The sequence below is a fragment of the Homo sapiens genome, chromosome 18 (genome assembly GCF_000001405.40).
Source record: "Homo sapiens chromosome 18, GRCh38.p14 Primary Assembly".
Taxonomy (NCBI): domain Eukaryota; kingdom Metazoa; phylum Chordata; class Mammalia; order Primates; family Hominidae; genus Homo; species Homo sapiens.
The window spans coordinates 34,650,237-34,670,363 of NC_000018.10; the positions used below are offsets into that span (position 1 = coordinate 34,650,237).

The 20,127-nt window shown below is 37.7% G+C and overlaps 1 protein-coding gene across 45 annotated transcripts in view, besides 2 other annotated features; it reads left to right on the forward strand.

Annotated features, from left to right (window-relative positions):
- Nucleotides 1-20,127, forward strand: part of DTNA (dystrobrevin alpha) — a 398,533-nt gene that overhangs the window by 156,925 nt on the left and 221,481 nt on the right. The window lies entirely within an intron of this gene.
- Nucleotides 9,157-9,660: an enhancer, noted in NCBI's record as "OCT4-NANOG-H3K27ac hESC enhancer chr18:32239357-32239860 (GRCh37/hg19 assembly coordinates)". NCBI's record gives its function as "activates a minimal SCP1, AML or CMV promoter by ChIP-STARR-seq in naive and primed H9 embryonic stem cells {active_cell/tissue: H9 hESC(naive and primed)}" and the evidence as "EXISTENCE:reporter gene assay evidence [ECO:0000049][PMID:30033119]".
- Nucleotides 9,661-10,164: an enhancer, noted in NCBI's record as "OCT4-NANOG-H3K27ac hESC enhancer chr18:32239861-32240364 (GRCh37/hg19 assembly coordinates)". NCBI's record gives its function as "activates a minimal SCP1, AML or CMV promoter by ChIP-STARR-seq in naive and primed H9 embryonic stem cells {active_cell/tissue: H9 hESC(naive and primed)}" and the evidence as "EXISTENCE:reporter gene assay evidence [ECO:0000049][PMID:30033119]".

The window sequence follows — 20,127 nt, forward strand, 5'->3', positions numbered from 1 at the left end:
GTTGACCTTCCAAGCATCTGGATTTACTGCCAAAACACTAAATAAGAACTACAAGCAGAAAGACCATGAGTCAGATGAACTCTTCATTTTATTTCAAGGATGAAGTTCCAGATACATGAATCAACTGTAAATAGTGAAAGAAATATGTGAGTGTGAGTGTGTGTGTGCATGTGCATGTTTGTGTGTTTTTCCTACTTGTAAACATCTGCTTTGTTCCTACTTCTCCTTTTGAGACACAGTCTTTTTATAGTAATGGTGGAAATTAGATCCTTTCCTTTTTCGACACTGTTAATCATCGTTTGAATTTGAAGCCAGTATCTCTACCTCAAAATAGAATGAAAATTCAGTTTCTTAGCCTGTGGCACCTTCAGGCACTCTGTTAGCATTCAATAAACATTTATTGAGCTTAGAGACAGACACTATACTAGGCCCAGAAGGCAAAGCTGCTGCAATTGGATGTTCTGTCCTAATATTAGTAAATAACATAAAATTAGTGCACTGAATCAGACCCTTTGTCCTGCTAAAACCACACTTTTTCTATTATAGTAGTACTAGGATATGTGTTAATACAGAATATAGTTATTCTTTTTACTGTCAGATTAAGAATTTACCTCTAATTCTTCATGTACATTAGTAATTTATTATAGTTCTACTACCCTGAATCATTTGAATGTTTAAAAATTATTTTCTATTTTCAACCCAATCCTACTAATATTAGTAGTACACCCTTTTATTGATCTTACACTTACCTCTTGAAACAACAATAGATTTCTAGTGGATAAGCTCATTGTCATCTTTTCCAGACCATTCAAAGCTTTCTAGACTTTACGTCTTCTTTTCGCAAACAGAATGCCCCATATTTTTGTAGTCTGTCTTTATACAGCTACCTCCCTATTCTCCTTAGACACTTCATATATATCTTGTGAGCTGTGGCAACTAGAATTACAAGTGGTATTTAAGATGTAGACACAATGTTTTTGTAAAAATGGCCACATTTTGTTAATGTATAATTGCATTTATGATATCATTTACTTATTAGCAATACCTTCCTAGTAAGATTACTATGAGGATAAAACAAGGTAATACTTGAAAAGTATTAGCACAGTGCTTGACATGGTAAACACTCAATAAATGCTAATAGTCATTACTATTTGATTTTGATTTTATAATATTTTAATGGCCATACCCCATATGCTAGCCACTTTTATTTTTTAAATCCTAGGCTTTCCTCATTCAATAATAGAGGATATGCTTGAGTCAGATCAACATTGCTAAGACTCATTTCTGATCTTGTTTGTTTCATTCACTTAACAAATTAACTTAATTAATATTCCAGGCATTGAGCTATGTACTGGAAATACAGCTGCCAGAAGGGCAAGGTCTCTGCATTTATAGGGCCTACCATAAAATGGAAAACTAATAATAAAATTTCATTACGATGCAATGAGAAGTGCAGAATCAATGGGAGAACACAGAAGGGGAAGCTAACCTAATACAGGGACCACTGTGGTTTCCTGGAAGAAGTGATGTTAAAACTCAGACCTGGGCCGAGCATGGTGACTCATACCTATAATCCCAGCACTTTGGGAGGCCGAGGTGGGAAGATTGCTTGAGCCCAGAAATTTGAGACCAGCCTGAGGAACACAGAGAGACCCTGTCTCTGCAAAAAATACAAAAATTAGCTGGGCATGGTAGCCCACACATATATAGTCCCAGGCACTCAGGAGGCTGAGGTGACAGGATCACTTGAGCCAGGGGGGTCAAGGCTGCAGTGAGGCATGATCATGCCACTGCACTACAGTGTGGGTGACAGATTGCGACCCTGTCTCAAAAGAAAGAAAAGAAAAAAGGAAGGAAGGAAGGAAGGTAGGAAGGAAGGAGAGAAGAAAAGAAAAAAGAAACCACAAAACAGCAACAACGAAAACTGAGACCTGAAGGTGAGTAGGAGTTAGCCAGACAGAGGGCGGGGGAGGGAGGACAAAAGTGGAAAGATCACCAGAAGGAATAGCATGTGTAACACTTGGAGGTGAAAGAAAATACTCTTTATTGAGGAACTGAAAGAAATTCAGCATGAGCTCAGAACTCATCAATGAGTTCTCTTCATCCATCCAATAGCATTCAGCCTTCTTAGCTGGATTTTGTGAAATTTGGCCCTATCCACCCTTCCCATTACTTTCCTCACATACCCCACCCACTGTTCCTACATGCCCAGGTGTTTGCTTATTTCCTTGACTGGAATGTTCTTCCTCAAATTTTAGAATTCAGGGAGCATTTACTGAGTAACTGGTACATGCCAGACATTGTGAGCTATCACCCTTCCAATGTCTTTTCATTCATTCTTTTGATGAAAATTTATTAAGCACCAACATATAGAGGGTGCCATGCTACTTTTCCAGCACTAGTTTAAATGACACTTCTGTGAAGGTCCCCAGATGCTTCAACTGACATAATCTCTTCTAGTTTTCTTCATTCTCTGAAGTCCTAATATCCTAAACGTGCCTCTCTTCTGTCTGCTGCCACTTTTTGTACTGCATGACAGCTAAGCAGTTAACGTGAATCCGAAATCTCCATGAGACTTCTGTTCTAGGTGGCCAAGTCCAGGGATCCAATCTATCATCGGGTAATGCCCATCACCCTGCATTAACCTAGGAGCTGCAAAGTTCATAGTAAATATCCAAAGGGGTGGATACATATTCTGAACCTGGATAATGGTGACGTTATTTTGGTACTTCCTAATGATCCACATTGCCAGAACAATGACTTTGTTTCAAAGTGATCATATCTGAATCTAGTATAATTTCTCTTAAATGTCACTATTTCCTGCAGGATTCCAAGATTTACATAAAAACCTGATGGGTGAATAGTATGTTTTTACAGATTACACATCTAAAATACTTGAAACTGTATCACCACTGCTATCAGCTCCGTACTATGCATTTACTCATGCTTTTTATTTATTCTTATAATCATGGTAAATCAAAAAAGGGAAAAAAACGAATAGGCTTCTACCTGTTGATTGCTAAAAATAAAATTCAGCCTCACCTTTAGCATTTCAATTTTATAGTCCTCTACCTGGATTTATAGCTAATATTTTTAGTGATTGCTTATGCATTTCCTAGGCACACCAATCTAATTTGTAGCAGGTTCTGTGATTCATAGTGACTACTAGAATTGAATTCTGCTTGTCTCTATAGTGAATACTATAGTTAAGGCTTGATTCTTTCCAATGTATCATTTATGTGATTGAAAGAACAAGAAAAAAAAAACACTTAACACTAAAGAGTTTTTTAAAAATACCACTGAGGGTCAGGTGCAGTGGCTTATGCCTGTAATCTCAGCAGTTTGGGAGGCTGAGGTGGGCGGATCACTTGAGGTCAGGAGTTTGAGACCAGCCTGGTCAACGTGGTGAAACCCCATTTCTACTAAAAATGTAAAAATTAGCTGGGTGTGGTGGCACACACTTGTAGTCCCAGCTACTTGGAGGCTGAGGCATGAGAATCGCTTGAACCCAGGAGGCAGAGGTTGCAGTGAGCCAAGACTGCGCCACTGCACTCCAGCTTGGGTGACAGAATGAGACTCCATCTCAAAATAAATAAACAATAAAAACAAAAAATACCACTGAGGAATCCATGCTAAAATATCAATATCAAACAGCTTTGAATTGGAGACTCACAATACAGTATATGTCTTCAGATACATTGTCTCACTTCAGCCTCCTTATATCTATCCAAAGGGTTTTGATGAGTTTTTCTTGTCAGCCATTTCAGATAATTTACTAAAGCCAACATTCAGAGTGTTCCTATGAGAGGAAGGCTTGGGACAGGGATGACTCCTCAAGGAACTGTGGATTTATTTATAGGACTTGGGTGGTCTCAGTAATTCACCTGGTGAGCTTGCTCAATTTTTTCTCCTGTTATTGGCCAACCATCTTCCAGCTGGATTAGTGACATTCTCAAATAGCTGATGTGATAGAGCTGTTGCAAATTGGCAGGAAGACTTTCACCTTGGAAACAGCACTTTGCAAATGTCCCTGTGACCCCATTTCAATGTAGTTACTTCCCATGCCTTACCTTAGTTAATAATCCTCGAGCAGTTACCAGTTACTGAGTGACAGTCGTGTACTAGGTACAATACATTCATTATCTAAATCAAAACTCAAGATTTCTCTAAGTAAGCTCTATTATTACCTTTATATTAAAGATGAGGAAACGCTTTTAGAGAAAATAAGTCACAGATGTAAGTCCATGCTGTTGGTCACTATGCTGTACTTGCCAGTGTATACTCAGAACACACGCAGTACCTTTAATACTAACTGCAACAAAGTTAAATATGAAAGTTAATCTCTTGGGAACATTCTAAAAACATACCTCATATGGGTACATTCTAAAAAAATACCTCTGAATCCAAATGCAGATTTTATAACTTATCTTCCATGTGGGATAATCTATGTTCCACTATGTATGTGTTTAGAAAGTGGACTGTAAAATCTGTAAATAATTTTTTTTTTTTGAGACAGAGTTTGCTCTGTCACCCAGGCTGGAGTGCAGTGGTGCAATCTTGGCTCACTGCAACCTCCGCCTCCTGGGTTCAAGCGATTCTCCTGCCTCAGCCTCCCAAGTAGCTGGGATTACAGGTGTGTGCCACCACACCCAGCTTATTTTTGTATTTTTCGTAGAGACGGGATTTCACCATGTTGGCCAAGCTGGTCCTGAATGCCTGACCTCAGGTGATCCACCTGCCTCGGCCTCCCAAAGTGTTGGGATTACAGGCATGAACCACCGTGCCCGGCCTAATTTTTTTAATAGGGATAATAATATTAAGAAATTCTTTTACTAACACATGTAGTTTTTCAGAACTCCATAATATGCAGGCAATATATGATATTCGATTATTAAATCCAGCAAAAATGTAAACCCCCGTTTAAGTAGACAGGTAAGTAAACTGCTAGGTTCAAGAGGTGACCTTCCCACACTCTGCCTACCTACTCAAGCCCTTCTCTGAATCGGTTATTGGACATATTCACTGCCTCCTTCTCTCTTACATAATTGGTGTTACTTTAGAGTAAGGGGAAGATTAGCATCACCCAAACATAACTCAGACCATTCCAGCCCACCAAGGCCTCCTCCCCCACCTCCCACCTCCACTTGCCTGCTCAAAGATGCTAAGAATCCTACTTGCTTAACTTTATCTGGTAAAGGAAATGGTGGCTAAAGGCAAAACTAAGCAGGTATTTCTGAGTATTATGTTCACCTGTATTAGCTATTATTAAATGAAAAAGAAAAGTTCTCAGATAAGCAGACTATTGTGCATTTTACCCTTGTATCTTTCAATTTACTCATGTGTCTTCACTTTTTATCACAGAAATTATATGGATATTAATTTCTAAAAATATCCAAAGGGTAACTTCTCATGTTAAATTGTGTCCTCTTTTCTATAAGTGTTTAGGTTTACTATTAATAATTAATAAGACAGTAATATTCCTGGGAGCTGGATTGCCCAAGTATTGTTTTAACCAAATAACTCACTGTATTTGAGCACAATAAAACTCTTACTTTGTTAGAGTGTGAATGGGCCAGTCCTGCCAGGAGACTCATAACGTTGCTATGGAATAGACAGACTTTGAGGAAGAAGTTAATTGTTCATATATACAAAGAAATTAAGTCTTCATTTTACCTATTCTCTAACTCGTCAACTTTCACATTCTACCCTTTTAAATGAGCACAAAAGGGAGGCTTTACACACATAAACACATGTTTACACACACGTGTGCACACTGAGTGATATTTTATTGTCAACTGCTTCTCTTGCTGCAGATGAATGAATCAAATTATGTGAATATATTTTATGTTCTTGATAGTAATTCTGTGGTTTGCATTACAGGATGGTTTATATGATTATCAAATGTTAGCAGTTTATAGAACCCTTTTATAAAGTTATAGTTATAAGTTGCTTTTATCTCTTGAATTAGACATGTATCAGTTATGAATTTTATTTCCAATTTTAGTGTTGCTAAACCATAAGCACAGATGTCAATCCTAGAAGAGGTGAAGTAAGCCACTCATGAAAGTGATTCGTCTTGGTTAAGTCAGTGAAGACTGGCTATACAGTTTGGATTTTATTTTCTGCACGTCTTGCTAGGAATTAGAAGAATAGAAGGGTTCTTCTTACGGTAAATGTCTGACAATTGTGTCGTTTTCCTTCTCCTCTTTAGGGGAACAGGGTGCTAAAAAGACTTGAAATGAGCTGCCAGTCACCATTAACCCCTTCCCTTCTGAACTTCCAGGTCACGGAGCAGTCCCCAAATGCTTTTTACTTTCATATTGAAGTTCTCCTAGCCCTGCCAGGTTTCCTAAACCACATTTCACAGATGTCACAAGTTTCAATGGTGTGTTTTTTCTTTTGTAGGTTTCTCCAAAAGAGTTTTATTAACAACACATAAACTTTTAGAATATACAGGATTCGTTATTTAAAATTTCTTCATTATAAAAACTGAAACAAAGAGAAGAGAAAATTATAGTTGTTAGATGTTGAAATGCTTTTTTAAAACATAGTAATGCCGTTATCTAAAAATTTAGTGAAATGATGTTAATAGTCCAATAGTCTATTTTACGTAATCTTTTTATATTTGCATAGCCTTTTTTTGTTTGTTTGTTTTTTTGAGACAGCATCTTGTTCTGTCACCCAGGATGCAGTTCAGTGGCATGATCTCGGCTCACTGCAACCTCCACCTCCCAGGCTCAAGCAATTCTCATGCCTCAGCCTTCCGAGTACCTGGGACTACAGGTGTGCACCACTATGCATGGCTAATTTTTTATATTTTCAGTAGAGACAAGGTTTCATCATGTTGCCCAGGATGGTCTCAAAATCCTGAGCTCAGACAATCCACCCACCTCAGACTCCCAAAGTGCTAGGACTAGGCATGAGCCACTGCACCTGGTCCTATTTGTAAAGTCTTAATCAACATCTTTTTAACCCCTACCATTTCTCCTGTCCATTGGAATCAGATAATGTAAGGTTGTCATTCTAAAAATACTGAAAGCCTGTCATAGCTTGCTTTAACTTTTCTTGCTTTTGTGTATTTCCCAAATATGGTACTTTTTTGGTATTGCTCAGCAACACTTGTCAAGAATTTGAATTTTTAAAAAAACTTGTCAAAAAACAAAATGTGTTATAAATCAGTCAGTTTGCTTTCATTGTCCAAACTGAAAGAGTTAAGAAACAATTTCCTTTGAGTGGTAAAAGTAATCTATTTTTATTTATCATGTAAATGTTTATATTGTAACACAATGTCTTTTTTAATGAGAAAGCAAAAATATACTTAAAAATCATTAGAATACCAACCATTTAATTTTTCTTTAAAATATTTTTATAACTTTAAATGGATACACTAAATTTTTCATACATCACTCTCCATTTAGACAAGGAAGACTACTAAACAGAGATTTTAGGGGAACACCATGAGCCATTCTCCAATAGAAGTCTATCCAAATTTCAGTTTCTGAATTTGAGGGATGAAATTAGGTTATGCATTTGGGAAGGAGGGGAGACATCACATAGCTCTGAATGAAAAAGAATCTGAAGAATTTCACACTTTCTTCCAACTAGCTCAGGAGCCACACACACTGCCATCTTTGTATTGCTAGAATACACCTTTGGACAATCATTCAGGAAGTCCTGGCCACTATTAATGAAACCTCTGCTCAGCTACTTGCTTTCCAGCTTTGCTCATAAAAATTAAAGTCAGTAGTTAAAATGGATGAAAGAGAAATTTCAGGAGAATTGGCTGACTTCAGAGTCTCAAACTGGCATCTGTTTGACTCCAAAACTCCAAAGTCTTCTAAGTAGATATTGGCTAAGAAAAAGATGAAAGAAGCTGACTGATGAAACTGATTCAAGCACTGAAACTAAAAAGGAGAGAGTATGCAGCAGGATATAGGAGAAAGGCTACTAGGAATCCCTCAACACTAGCCAGAATTTAGGGGGATAATTTACTAGCAGTGACAAATCAGACTCAAAGCACAAAAACAGTCAGGCAAATCTAGAAATTACAATCTTTCAGTAGCTGTTTAAACAGCCAAATTAGTATCCAAATTTTGCTTTTATAAAAATTCTTTTGTTTCTTTGTTTGTCTTTTGAGACAAGGTCTGGCTCTATCACCCAGGCTGGAGCGCAGTGGCGTGATCTTGGCTCACTGTAATCTCTGCCCCCCGGGTTCAAGTGACTCTCATACCTCAGCCTCCCGAGTTGCTGAGACAACAGGAGTGTGCCACCATATCTGGCTAATTTTTTTGTATTTTTGTAGAGATGGGGTTTTGTCATGTTGCCCAAGCTGGTCTCAAACTCCTGATCTCAAACAGTCTACCTCCCTTGGTTTACAAAGTGCTGGGATTACAGGCTTGAGCCACTGAATGTGGCCTTTATCAAAATCCTTATTAAGTCAAAGTTTAAGCCCAATATGTTATAATACTGTCTTGATTACCACCACCAAAGCAGTGTTAAGAGCATTCAAGTCTAAAACAGAACAGAAAAGTCCAGAGAACAACACTAATTTATTTCTACAGTGCTCATTTTGTTCTTTTATGAGAGTGTCATTTCTCAGCATCTTGGACAGTGCCCTTTCTTTCTTAATAAAATGGCCAGAATTAAATAAATATGGCTAACACTCTTTCTCCACTGTAACCACGGCTGAGGCCTAATGACAATTCAGGGTAGAATATCTTTCAGTGCTATGGAGTATGTTGCACTGTTCTTTAGCTTAGAGAACTGGGATTTTCAAATCAGCACCTTAAGTGGAATTTTGCAGCCTGCATTTTTAAAACACCTACTGCCTTCCTATCCATTTACTGTACGTGTGTGTGTGTGTGCACGCATGTGTGTGTTATGACTGGAAGGAGATGATAGCAAATATCTTCCTTTAAAATAGTACTATCCAATAGAAACAGGATGCAAGCCACATATGTAATTATAAATTTTCTAGTAGCCACATTAAAAAAGGAAAAAGAAACAGGTGAAATTAATCTAAATATATTTTACTTAGTCCAATATATCAAAACTATTATCATTTCAACATGTAACTAATATAAAAAGTTATTAATGAGGTCTTTTATTCCTTTTTTGTACTGTATGCTTGAAATCCTGTGTAGATTTTACACTTCCAACACATCTTGATTTGGGCTAGCCGCATTTCAACTGCTCAATAGCCACATGTAGCCAATGACTACTGGACTGTACAGCCCAGGTATAAGGCAGGCACTTCTTTGTACAACAGTATCTCATTTGAAATGCCTAGCTTCTGATATTTCAGCTCTCAGTTTGAACATGTTTTTCCTTACACAAGAAATCCATATATATTTCATTCTAGATTCTAACACGTACACATACACACAGACACACACAGACACACACACACACACACACACACTCATTTAACATCTGGGTTTTAACAACCTATTCTGATCTTCTTCTAAATAAACTTGAAAAATAAAATACTTCCTCTCACCAGCCCTTTCTGAAGGAGCATGTGAGCCTGTTATCTTGCGCATTAACCGGTGACCGTATTTAGTGCTGTCAGAGCTGCTGACTCATTGCCTATGAATGGCCCCGCTGCCAGTGGTGATTGTTTGACAGAATGCCAGTAATGGCTGCCTACGGCTGCTGAAAAGCTGACCTTGTAACAACATCCACATTCTTTTGGTTGCTTTTGCTGACATACTCTCAACTCAAAAACTGTTTTCAAAACAAAAGTATAATGAAGTATTGAGCTTTTAAAAGCAATTGTATTTCAGTTCTTTAAATTATCTGAGTGTACCAAGGAGGGCAGAAGGCAAAGAAATGAGTATACAAGAGAGGGAACCATCCTTGAAAGTTGACATTTGAGCTACAGGCATATAATACTTGGGGACAGTGTTCTAAGACACCATGGGCATCCAAATGAAGCAAAGCTGTGTAAACTGAAAATAAAATTCTAAGCCCCCCAACCATCGGAATGGACCCCTCCTCTCAGCCAAGAGCATTCCAGTTAACCTGGAAAACTAGTTCAGGCCGTGAGAGGAAGTGGGGGGTCAGACATCCTCCCTTTGGAATTCAGGCACAACTGAGCAGCATTAACATTAAAACAGAGATCTTAAGACTTTTTGTAGCAATAGGTCACCAAATTCCAGCCTGATCTAGTATAGCATCACCTGACAGACAGCAGGCCCTGAAAGATATCAAAGTATTTTACTCTAAATTATATTTCTTTGACATATTTTGAAATAGCCCTGCAAAGCTATTGCTTGTGGGGAAAATCTGCATTCTGTAGAGAATCCCCTTCCCTTTCCAGGTCTTTTTCCTGATCCAGGAGAGAATCGACTAAGAGTCTGGCACCTTTTTAAGTCTAATAAGAAACATTTACAATCTAATCTCTCTGAAGCCTGTTACTTGGAGACTTCATCTGCATAATAAGAACCTTGGTCTCCAAAACCCCTTATCTTAGCCCAGACATTCCCTTCTGTTGATTCCAGGTCTTTAGACAATAACTTAAGTCTTCCAACCAATTGCCAATTAGAAATTGTTTGAATCTACCTATGACCTTGAAGCTCCCCACCCCCGCTTTGAGTTGTGCCACCTTTCCTGACCCAACCAGTGTACATCTTACATGTATTGATTGATGTCTTTTGTCTCCCTAAAATGTATAAAACTAAGCTGAAGCCTGACTACTTTGGGCACATGTTCTCAGGAGACAGGGCTGTGTCACTGACCATTGCCCACTCATATTTGGCTCAAAATTTATCTTTTCAAATATTTTTCAGAGTTTGACTCTTTTGTCAACAACTATTATGATATCTATTTTTTATCTTTCTCAGTATCATTTATTAGCTCTGTATTACTAACCTATTTGAAATTCTGTTTATTTGCAAAATGTATTCCATTCTCCACCCTGAAAACATTTTCCCCAAGTGGAGCTTCTAAACAAAGAATATGAGATGCTCTCCATTAATTAATAAGAGCTAAGGTACTATTAAATACTTAAAACAGGGATCAAATTAGCAGTACTTACTAGACACTGCTCTAGCTAGTGGATACGTTGATCATTCACACTATACTCAACTTTGCCCATAAAACTTAGTGTATGCCTTCCAGCTGCAGTATGTATTGATGGCCCTGCCTTCTGTTAGAGTACAAGTTTTTAGATTCTTCTCTTTTCCTGGTGATGAGGTCTGAAACTCTTGAATCTTCTAAATTCCTACTTGGGCTGATATCCCTGCTCCCTCTTTCTGGCTTCTTTTACCCCAGAGTCTAATCTGCACTGGTAGTAAAATTTCCTTTCAGTTCACATCTCACACATAACAGCCAGAGTCTGTTTTGCTAATTTTAATCAGACAAAGGATGAGTTTCGCATAGATGAGTTTTCAATAAACAGGATGAATGAACATTCAGCTAGTTGTTTTGGCATATTTTCACCACTAGAGGGAGATAAAGGCGCCTCTCCATCCACTGTTCCCACCCTCTTTGCCCCAAGATAGGAGAGGTGACAGAGTTAAGTGCAGAGGATAATGGTCAGTGAGATCATGGAGGGAAATTAAGTTATATATTTGGAGAAATCAAAAATGTGGCAGCTTTCAAACCCTGCCAACATGTTTTATGTGGCCTACCCAGTTTGGGGCAACATTTATAAATTGGAAAATTTCACATAAATATCTGGATTTCCACCCTGAGCTTGAAAATAGAAAGATGTGGCCACACTGTATGTCTGCGCCTCTGTGTGGCAGTCAGAGGGAGCTTCTCTCTATAAACAAGGCACAAACTCTTCATTTCAACTCCATCACTATCACTCTCTATTTTTCTAACACCGAGATTAAATGTAAGCTGTTACTTATTATCAAGCTTGCATCATTTTGTTGTTAAGAACCGGTTGTTGTTTTTTTTTTTTTTGTACTCAGGTCAAAGATGGTAAAAAGAATAACATAGCAAGCAAGCCTCTTGTAATTTCAAGGAAAATGAGAGAGAACATATTTCTTGGAGGCAGTAAAAAATATTCATAAGAGTAAAATATGCAGGCACAATGTGACTGGTCTCCTTGACTTACACTTACCTATTTCCATCATTTACATCAGCTAGATGTCCCTATGAGCTTTGCATAACCCTTTGGAAATACCTGCTTCCCAAACATGATATGGCAGGAAGAAGATAAGGGACTGGGCGATCCTGGGACCCAGTCAAATACCTTCTCTCAGTTGTCCCCACTAACTAATGACTGAGAAATGTCTCTCATGACTGATTACCCAAGGATTTACAAAATTGACATGTGAGGGACAAAAATCTCAGTCTCACTTAAAATAGCAGGAAAAACATATCTGCATGTAACTTATACTCACAGAAGAATTGCAGAACTAAAATTTGGATTTAGGTAGGATAAATTCCAACACACAGCTGATATTCTGATTTACTCATATCATTGCTTCTTGATCTGAAAAAGAAATGATAATATAAATATTAGTAATCATAGCTAACATCTGTTGAGTTGACAGTTGTGTCAGGCACTGTGCTAAGTGATCTCCTTTAACCCTGAGGAACAACTGTGTTATTCAACCTCAGAGATTTGTCTCAACAACCTTAATATATGCCCTTCCTTTTAGGACAACGGTTCTCAAAATGAAGACACTTTCATGAGATTCTTGAGGTTAAAACTATTTTAATAACAACTCTATCATATTATTTGCCTTTTTCACTATGGGACAGTCACACAGATGTGCAAAAGTAATGGTAAGTAAAACTGCTGGAATCTATTACTAGGGGTTGAAGGCAGTGGCACCAAGCTCTACTGGTAGTAATATTTCTTCACTCCCATGTACTTCCAGTGAAAAACAAAGCAAGCAACAGCAAAAGCATGTTATTAAGTCTTGGGAGTGTAAATGACGTTATTTTATTTATTTATTTTTACTTTTTATTTTTTTGAGATAGGGTCTCACTCTGTCATCCAAGCTGGAGTTCATTGGCATGATCGTGGCTCACTGCAGCCTTGACCCCGTGGGCTCAAGTGATCCTCCTACCTCAGTCTCCTAAGTTTCTGGGACTACATACAGGTGCATGCCACCACGCCTGGCTAATTTTTTCTTTTTTTGTAGAGACAAGGTCTTGATATGTCTTGCTATGCCCAGACTTGTCTTGAACTCCCAGGCTCAAGCGATTCTCCTGCCTTGGCCTCCCAAAGTGTTGGGATTAGAGGCATGAGCCACCGTGCCTAGCCACATCCTTTTAATAGTGCAAGGAAATGGGAAGTACACATAAAGCACTTTTGAAATATGTTGAGGTGCGGTAGTTGTCTCCAAGTATTATTGTTCAAGGTACAAGTGGTACTAGTCATTTCTTTCATAGAACATTTTTTTTTTGAAAGAACAATGGGCAGACAAACTATGATTATTTCAGCAGGGGTATTTGGCAAATGTTTTTTGAAATTGAATGAAATAAGCTTGTCACCAGAAAAAACAACTGACAGGAATTTCTGACAATGATAAAATTCAAACTTTCAAGTAGAAATTAGAATTTTGAAAAGCCTACATCTGCCACTATAAACTTGACAGCTTCTCAATACCTTTCTTGATGAGACTCGTGGTGACATTAACAAAAGTAATTTTTTGTTATCAAAAATAATACGTAAACATTTGGAAGATCTGCTTTACTAAGTGAGCTAGACTATTTTGTCATAAAATCATATATAGATTTTTTTAAAAACTATACCAAGTATGAGACAAATAATTGAGTTTACTGTAATAGATTATATGAAGTTCATTGATATGTTTCAGATTCCACATTCCATTTTTAAGGAACAATCACTTGTTGAATTTCACTGTTGTATCAAAGAAAACTGTCCATAATAATCTGAAAGGCTATGAAAAGACTCTACTATTTCAAACTACAAGTCTATGTGAGCCTGGAGTTTCTTCATATTTGTCAACCAAAACATATTCCAATAGATTAAATGCAGAAGCAGATAGGTAAATCTGGCTATCTTCCATTAAGCCAGATATTAGGGGATTTCCAAAAAATGTAAAACCATGCTTATCACCAAAATTTTGTTTTGGAAAATATTTCTATTTTATTAAAAATATATTATTTTATTTATGTCACATGTAATGGGTTTATCATTGTCACATAAATGAATTTATAGACCAATTCTTTTAAGATGCTCCAATCACGTGCTTTATTAAGTCAATTTTAAACGTATAATGAGAATCAAGGGAGGAAAGGTGGGGTAGGTTAATGCACTTAGAATAGTATGCAAGTGGAATAAAAGGAACTCCACCACCTGAATGCTGGGTTATACAATGTCCATATGTCTTGTTTCTGCTACACCAGCCTTCCAAACTGGTGGTGTGGTTGTGGAGTGAGAATAGGGTTTGAGGAAGGGGCCTAAACAGACAGGTGGAAGGTGTCTGGGGTACAAACTTGCTCTATCACAGAGACACAAGGACAAGTACACCTATCAATAGCTTTAGCTTTCCATTAGCTTGCCAAGTAGCTTTGGGTTTTATCTCCAGTGAATTTATAAATAAATATTTTTAAAGTTTATAAGTTTTCATTTCTAATAGGGTAAATATTGATAGGTATAATAAACATAAACAAAAGCTCTTGGAGGTCTTCAGAACAAAAAGTTTAAAAACCTCTGATGTAGGATATGGGATCCCTTTTTTTAACCCCAAAGTAGCATGGCAATTTATTGAAACCAAATTAAATGATTTATCTTCTATCTTCTATCTTCTTCTTCTTCTTTTTTTTTTTTTAAAGGTACTCATCTCCCCAGAGTCAGATGAAAATGCTAAGTCAAGCTCTCAGTAACCCTCAGGTGGCTCCTAAGGCATATGTCATATGCAAGGCCACCAGTTAAGGTAGAAATGCACCACTAAAGGGCAAGACCTGAGCATTCTTTCCCAGAATTAGATGCTTCTGTCTTTTTATGATTTCCAGTAAAAGTATCTCTTTGTCTAACAAAGCAACCACCCATATTTTGCACACAAATATTTTTTTCCTTAGGGAAACAAGATATACATTACAAACAACAACAACAAAATATTAAGAATCTGATTTTCATGCTAAGAATTTGTCAATGAAATTGTGTCCAAATAACTGCTACATTTGTATACAAATTTTTTATGAAAACAAGATTTATGATTGGGGTTTAATGCATATTAGAGAAGAATTATTTATATATATATTTTTTATTACACTTTAAGTTCTAGGGTACATGTGCACAATGTGCAGGTTTGTTACATATGTATACATGTGCCATATTGGTGTGCTGCACCCATTAACTCTTCATTTAACATTAGGTATATCTCCTAATGCTATCCCTCCCCACTCCCTCCACCCCACAACAGGCCCCAGTGTGTGATGTTCCCCTTCCTGTGTCCATGTGTTCTCATTGTTCAATTCCCACCTATGAGTGAGAACATGCAGTGTTTGGTTTTTTGTCCTTGCGATAGTTTGCTGAGAATGATGGTTTCTAGCTTCATCCATGTCCCTACAAAGAACATGAACTCATCATTTTTATGGCTGCATAGTATTCCATGGTGTATATGTGCCATATTTTCTTAATCCAGTCTATCACTGTTGGACATTTGGGTTGGTTCCAAGTCTTTGCTATTGTGAGTAGTGCTGCAATAAACATACGTGTGCATGTGTCTTTATAGCAGCATGATTTACAGTCCTTTGGGTATATACCCAGTAATAGGATGGCTGGGTCAAATGGTATTTCTAGCTCTAGATCCCTGAGGAATCGCCACACTGTCTTCCACAATGGTTAAACTAGTTTACAGTCCCACCAACAGTGTAAAAACATTCCTATTTCTCCACATCCTCTCCAGCATCTGTTGTTTCCTGACTTTTAATGATTGCTATTCTAACTGGTGTGAGATGATATCTCATTGTGGTTTTGATTTGCATTTCCCTGATGGCCAGTGATGATGAGCATTTTTTCATGTGTCTGTTGGCTGCATAAATGTCTTCTTTTGAGAAGTGTCCTTTCATATCCTTCACCCACTTTTTGATGGGGTTGTTTTTTTTTTCTTGTAAATTTGTTTGAGTTCTTTATAGATTCTGGATATTAGCCCTTTGTCAGATGAGTAGATTGCAAAAATTTTCTCCCATTCTGTAGGTTGCCTGTTCACTCTGATGGTAGTTTCTTTTGCTGTGCAGAAGCTCTTTAGTTTAATTAGATCCCATTTGTCAATTTTGGCTTTTGTTGCCATTGCTTTTGGTGTTTTAGACATGAAGTCCTTGCCCATGCCTATGTCCTGAATGGTATTGCCTAGGTTTTCTTCTAGGGTTTTTATGGTTTTAGGTCTAACGTTTAAGTCTTTAATTCATCTTGAATTAATTTTTGTACAAGGTATAAGGAAGGGATCCAGTTTCAGCTTTCTACCTATGGCTAGCCAGTTTTCCTAGCACCATTTGTTAAATAGGGAATCCTTTCCCCATTTCTTGTTTTTGTCAGGTTTGTCAAAGATCAGATGGTTGTAGATGTGTGGTATTATTTCTGAGGCCTCTGTTCTGTTCCATTGGTCTACATCTCTGTTTTGGTACCAGTACCATGCTGTTTTGGTTACTGTAGCCTTGTGGTATAGTGTGAAGTCAGGTAGTGTGATGCCTCCAGCTTTGTTCTTTTGGCTTAGGATTGACTTGGCGATGCGGGCTCTTTTTTGGTTCCATATGAACTTTAAAGTAGTTTTTTTCCAATTCTGTGAAGAAAGTCATTGGTAGCTTGATGGGGATGGCATTGAATCTATAAATTACTTTGGGCAGTATGGCCATTTTCACGATATTGATTCTTCCTATCCATGAGCATGGAATGTTCTTCCATTTGTTTGTGTCCTCTTTTATTTCATTGAGCAGTGATTTGTAGTTCTCCTTGAAGAGGTCCTTCACATCCCTTGTAAGATGGATTCCTAGGTATTTTATTCTCTTTGAAGCAATTGTGAATGGGAGTTCACTCATGATTTGGCTCTCTGTTTGTCTGTTATTGATGTATAAGAATGCTTGTGATTTTTGCACAATGATTTTGTATCCTGAGACTTTGCTGAAGTTGCTTATCAGCTTAATGAGATTTGGGGCTGAGACGATGGGGTTTTCTAGATATACAATCATGTCATCCGCAAACAGCGACAATTTGACTTCCTCTTTTCCTAATTGAATACCCTTTATTTCCTTCTCCTGCCTAATTGCCCTGGCCAGAACTTCCAACACTATGTTGAAAAGGAGTGGTGAGAGAGGGCATCCCTGTCTTGTGCCAGTTTTCAAAGGGAATGCTTCCAGTTTTTGCCCATTCAGTATGATATTGGCTGTGGGTTTGTCATAAATAGCTCTTATTATTTTTAGATATGTCCCATCAATACCTAATTTATTGAGAGTTTTTAGCATGAAGGGCTGTTGAATTTTGTCAAAGGCCTTTTCTGCATCTATTTAGATAATCATGTGGTTTTTGTCTTTGGTTCTGTTTATATGCTGGATTATGTTTATTGATTTGCGTATGTTGAACCAGCCTTGCATCCCAGGGATGAAGCCAATTTGATCATGGTGGATAAGCTTTTTGATGTGCTGCTGGATTTGGTTTGCCAGTATTTTATTGAGGATTTTTGCATCGATGTTCATCAGGGATATTGGTCTAAAATTCTCTTTTTTTTGTTGTGTCTCTGCCAGGCTTTGGCATCAGGATGATGCTGGCCTCATAAAATGAGTTAGGGAGGATTCCCTCTTTTTCTATTGATTGGAATAGTTTCAGAAGGAATGGTACCAGCTCCTCCTTGTACCTCTGGTAGTATTCAGCTGTGAATCCATCCGGTCCTGGACTTTTTTTGGTTGGTAAGCTATTAATTATTGCCTCAATTTCAGAGCCTGTTACTGGTCTATTCAGAGATTCAGCTTCTTCCTGGTTTAGTCTTGGGAGGGTGTATGTGTTGAGGAATTTATCCATTTCTTCTAGATTTTCTAGTTTATTTGCATAGAGATGTTTATAGTATTCTCTGATGGTAATTTGTATTTCTGTGGGATTGGTGGTTATAACCCCTTTATCATTTTTTATTGCGTCTATTTGATTCTTCTCTCTTTTCTTCTTTATTAGTCTTGCTAGCGGTCTATCAATTTTGTTGATCTTTTCAAAAAACCAGATCCTGGATTCGTTGATTTTTTGAAGGGTTTTTTGTGTCTCTGTCTCCTTCAGTTCTGCTCTGATCTTAGTTATTTCTTGCCTTCTGCTAGCTTTTGAATGTGTTTGCTCTTGTTTCTCTAGTTCTTTTAATTGTGATGTTAGGGTGTCAATTTTAGATCTTTCCTGCTTTCTCTTGTGGGCATTTAGTGCTATAAATTTCCCTCTACACACTGCTTTATATGTGTTCCAGAGATTCTGGTATGTTTTGTCTTTGTTCTCGTTGGTTTCAAAAAACATCTTTATTTCTACCTTCTTTTCTTTATGTACCCAGTAGTCATTCAGGAGCAGGTTGTTCAGTTTCCATGTAGTTGAGCGGTTTTGAGTGAGTTTCTTAATCCTGAGTTCTAGTTTGATTGCACTGTGGTCTGAGAGACAGTTTGTTATAATTTCTGTTCTTTTACATTTGCTGAGGAGTGCTTTACTTCCAACTATGTGGTCAATTTTGGAATAGGTGTGGTGTGGTGCTGAGAAGAAGGTATATTCTGTTGATTTGGGGTGGAGAGTTCTGTAGATGTCTATTAGGTCCACTTGTTGCAGAGCTGAATTCAATTCCTGGATATCCTTGTTAACTTTCTGTCTCATTGATCTGTCTAATGTTGACAGTGGGGTATGAAAGTCTCCCATTATTATTGTGTGGGAGTCTAAGTCTCTTTGTAGGTCTCTAAGGGCTTGCTTTATGTATCTGGGGGCTCCTGTATTGGGTGCATATATATTTAGGATAGTTAGCACTTCTTGTTAAATCGATACCTTTACCATTATGTAATGGCCTTCTTTGTCTCTTTTGATCTTTGTTGGTTTAAAGTCTGTTTTATCAGAGACTAGGATTGCAACCCCTGCCTTTTTTTGTTTTCCATTTGCTTGGTAGATCTTCCTCCGTCCCTTTATTTTGAGCCTATGTGTGTCTCTGCACGTGAGATGGGTTTCCTGAATACAGTACACTGGTGGGTCTTGACTCTTTATCCAATTTGCCAGTCTGTGTCTTTTAATTGGAGTATTTAGCCCATTTACATTTAAGGTTAATACTGTTATGTGTGAATTTGATCCTGTCATTGTGATGTTAGCTGGTTATTTTGTTCGTTAGTTGATGCTGTTTCTTCCTAGCATCAATGGTCTTTACAATTTGTCATGTTTTTGCAATGGCTGGTAACAGTTGTCCCTTTCCATGTTTAGTGCTTCCTTCAGGAGCTCTTGTAGGGCAGGCCTGGTGGTGACAAAATCTGTCAGCATTAGCTTGTCTGTAAAGGATTTTATTTCCCCTTCACTTATGAAGCTTAGTTTGGCTGGATATGAAATTCTGGGTCGAAAATTCTTTTCTTTAAGAATGTTGAATATTGGCCCCCACTCTCTTCTGGCTTGTAGAGTTTCTGCAGAGAGATCCGCTGTTAGTCTGATGGGCTTCCCTTTGTGGGTAACCTGACCTTTCTCTCTGGCTGCCCTTAATATTTTTTCCTTCATTTCAACTTTGGTGAATCTGACAATTATGTATCTTGGAGTTGCTCTTCTTGAGGAGTATCTTTGTGGCATTCTCTGTATTTCCTGAATTTGAATGTTGGCCTGCCTTGCTAGGTTGGGGAAGTTCTCCTGGATAATATCCTGAAGAGTGTTTTCCAACTTGGTTCCATTCTCCCCATCACTTTCAGGTATACCAACCAGATGTAGATTTGGTCTTTTCACATAGTCCCATATTTCTTGGAGGCTTTGTTCATTTCTTTTTATGCTTTTTTCTCTAAACTTCTTGCTTCATTTCATTCATTTGGTCTTCCATCACTGATACCCTTTCTTCCAGTTGATCGAATTGGCTACTGAAGCTTGTGCATTCGTCACGTAGTTCTCGTGCCATGGTTTTCAGCTCCATCAGGTCCTTTAAGGACTTCTCTGCATTGGTTATTCTAGTTAGCCATTCATCTAATCTTTTTTCAAGGTTTTTAACTTCTTTACAATGGGTT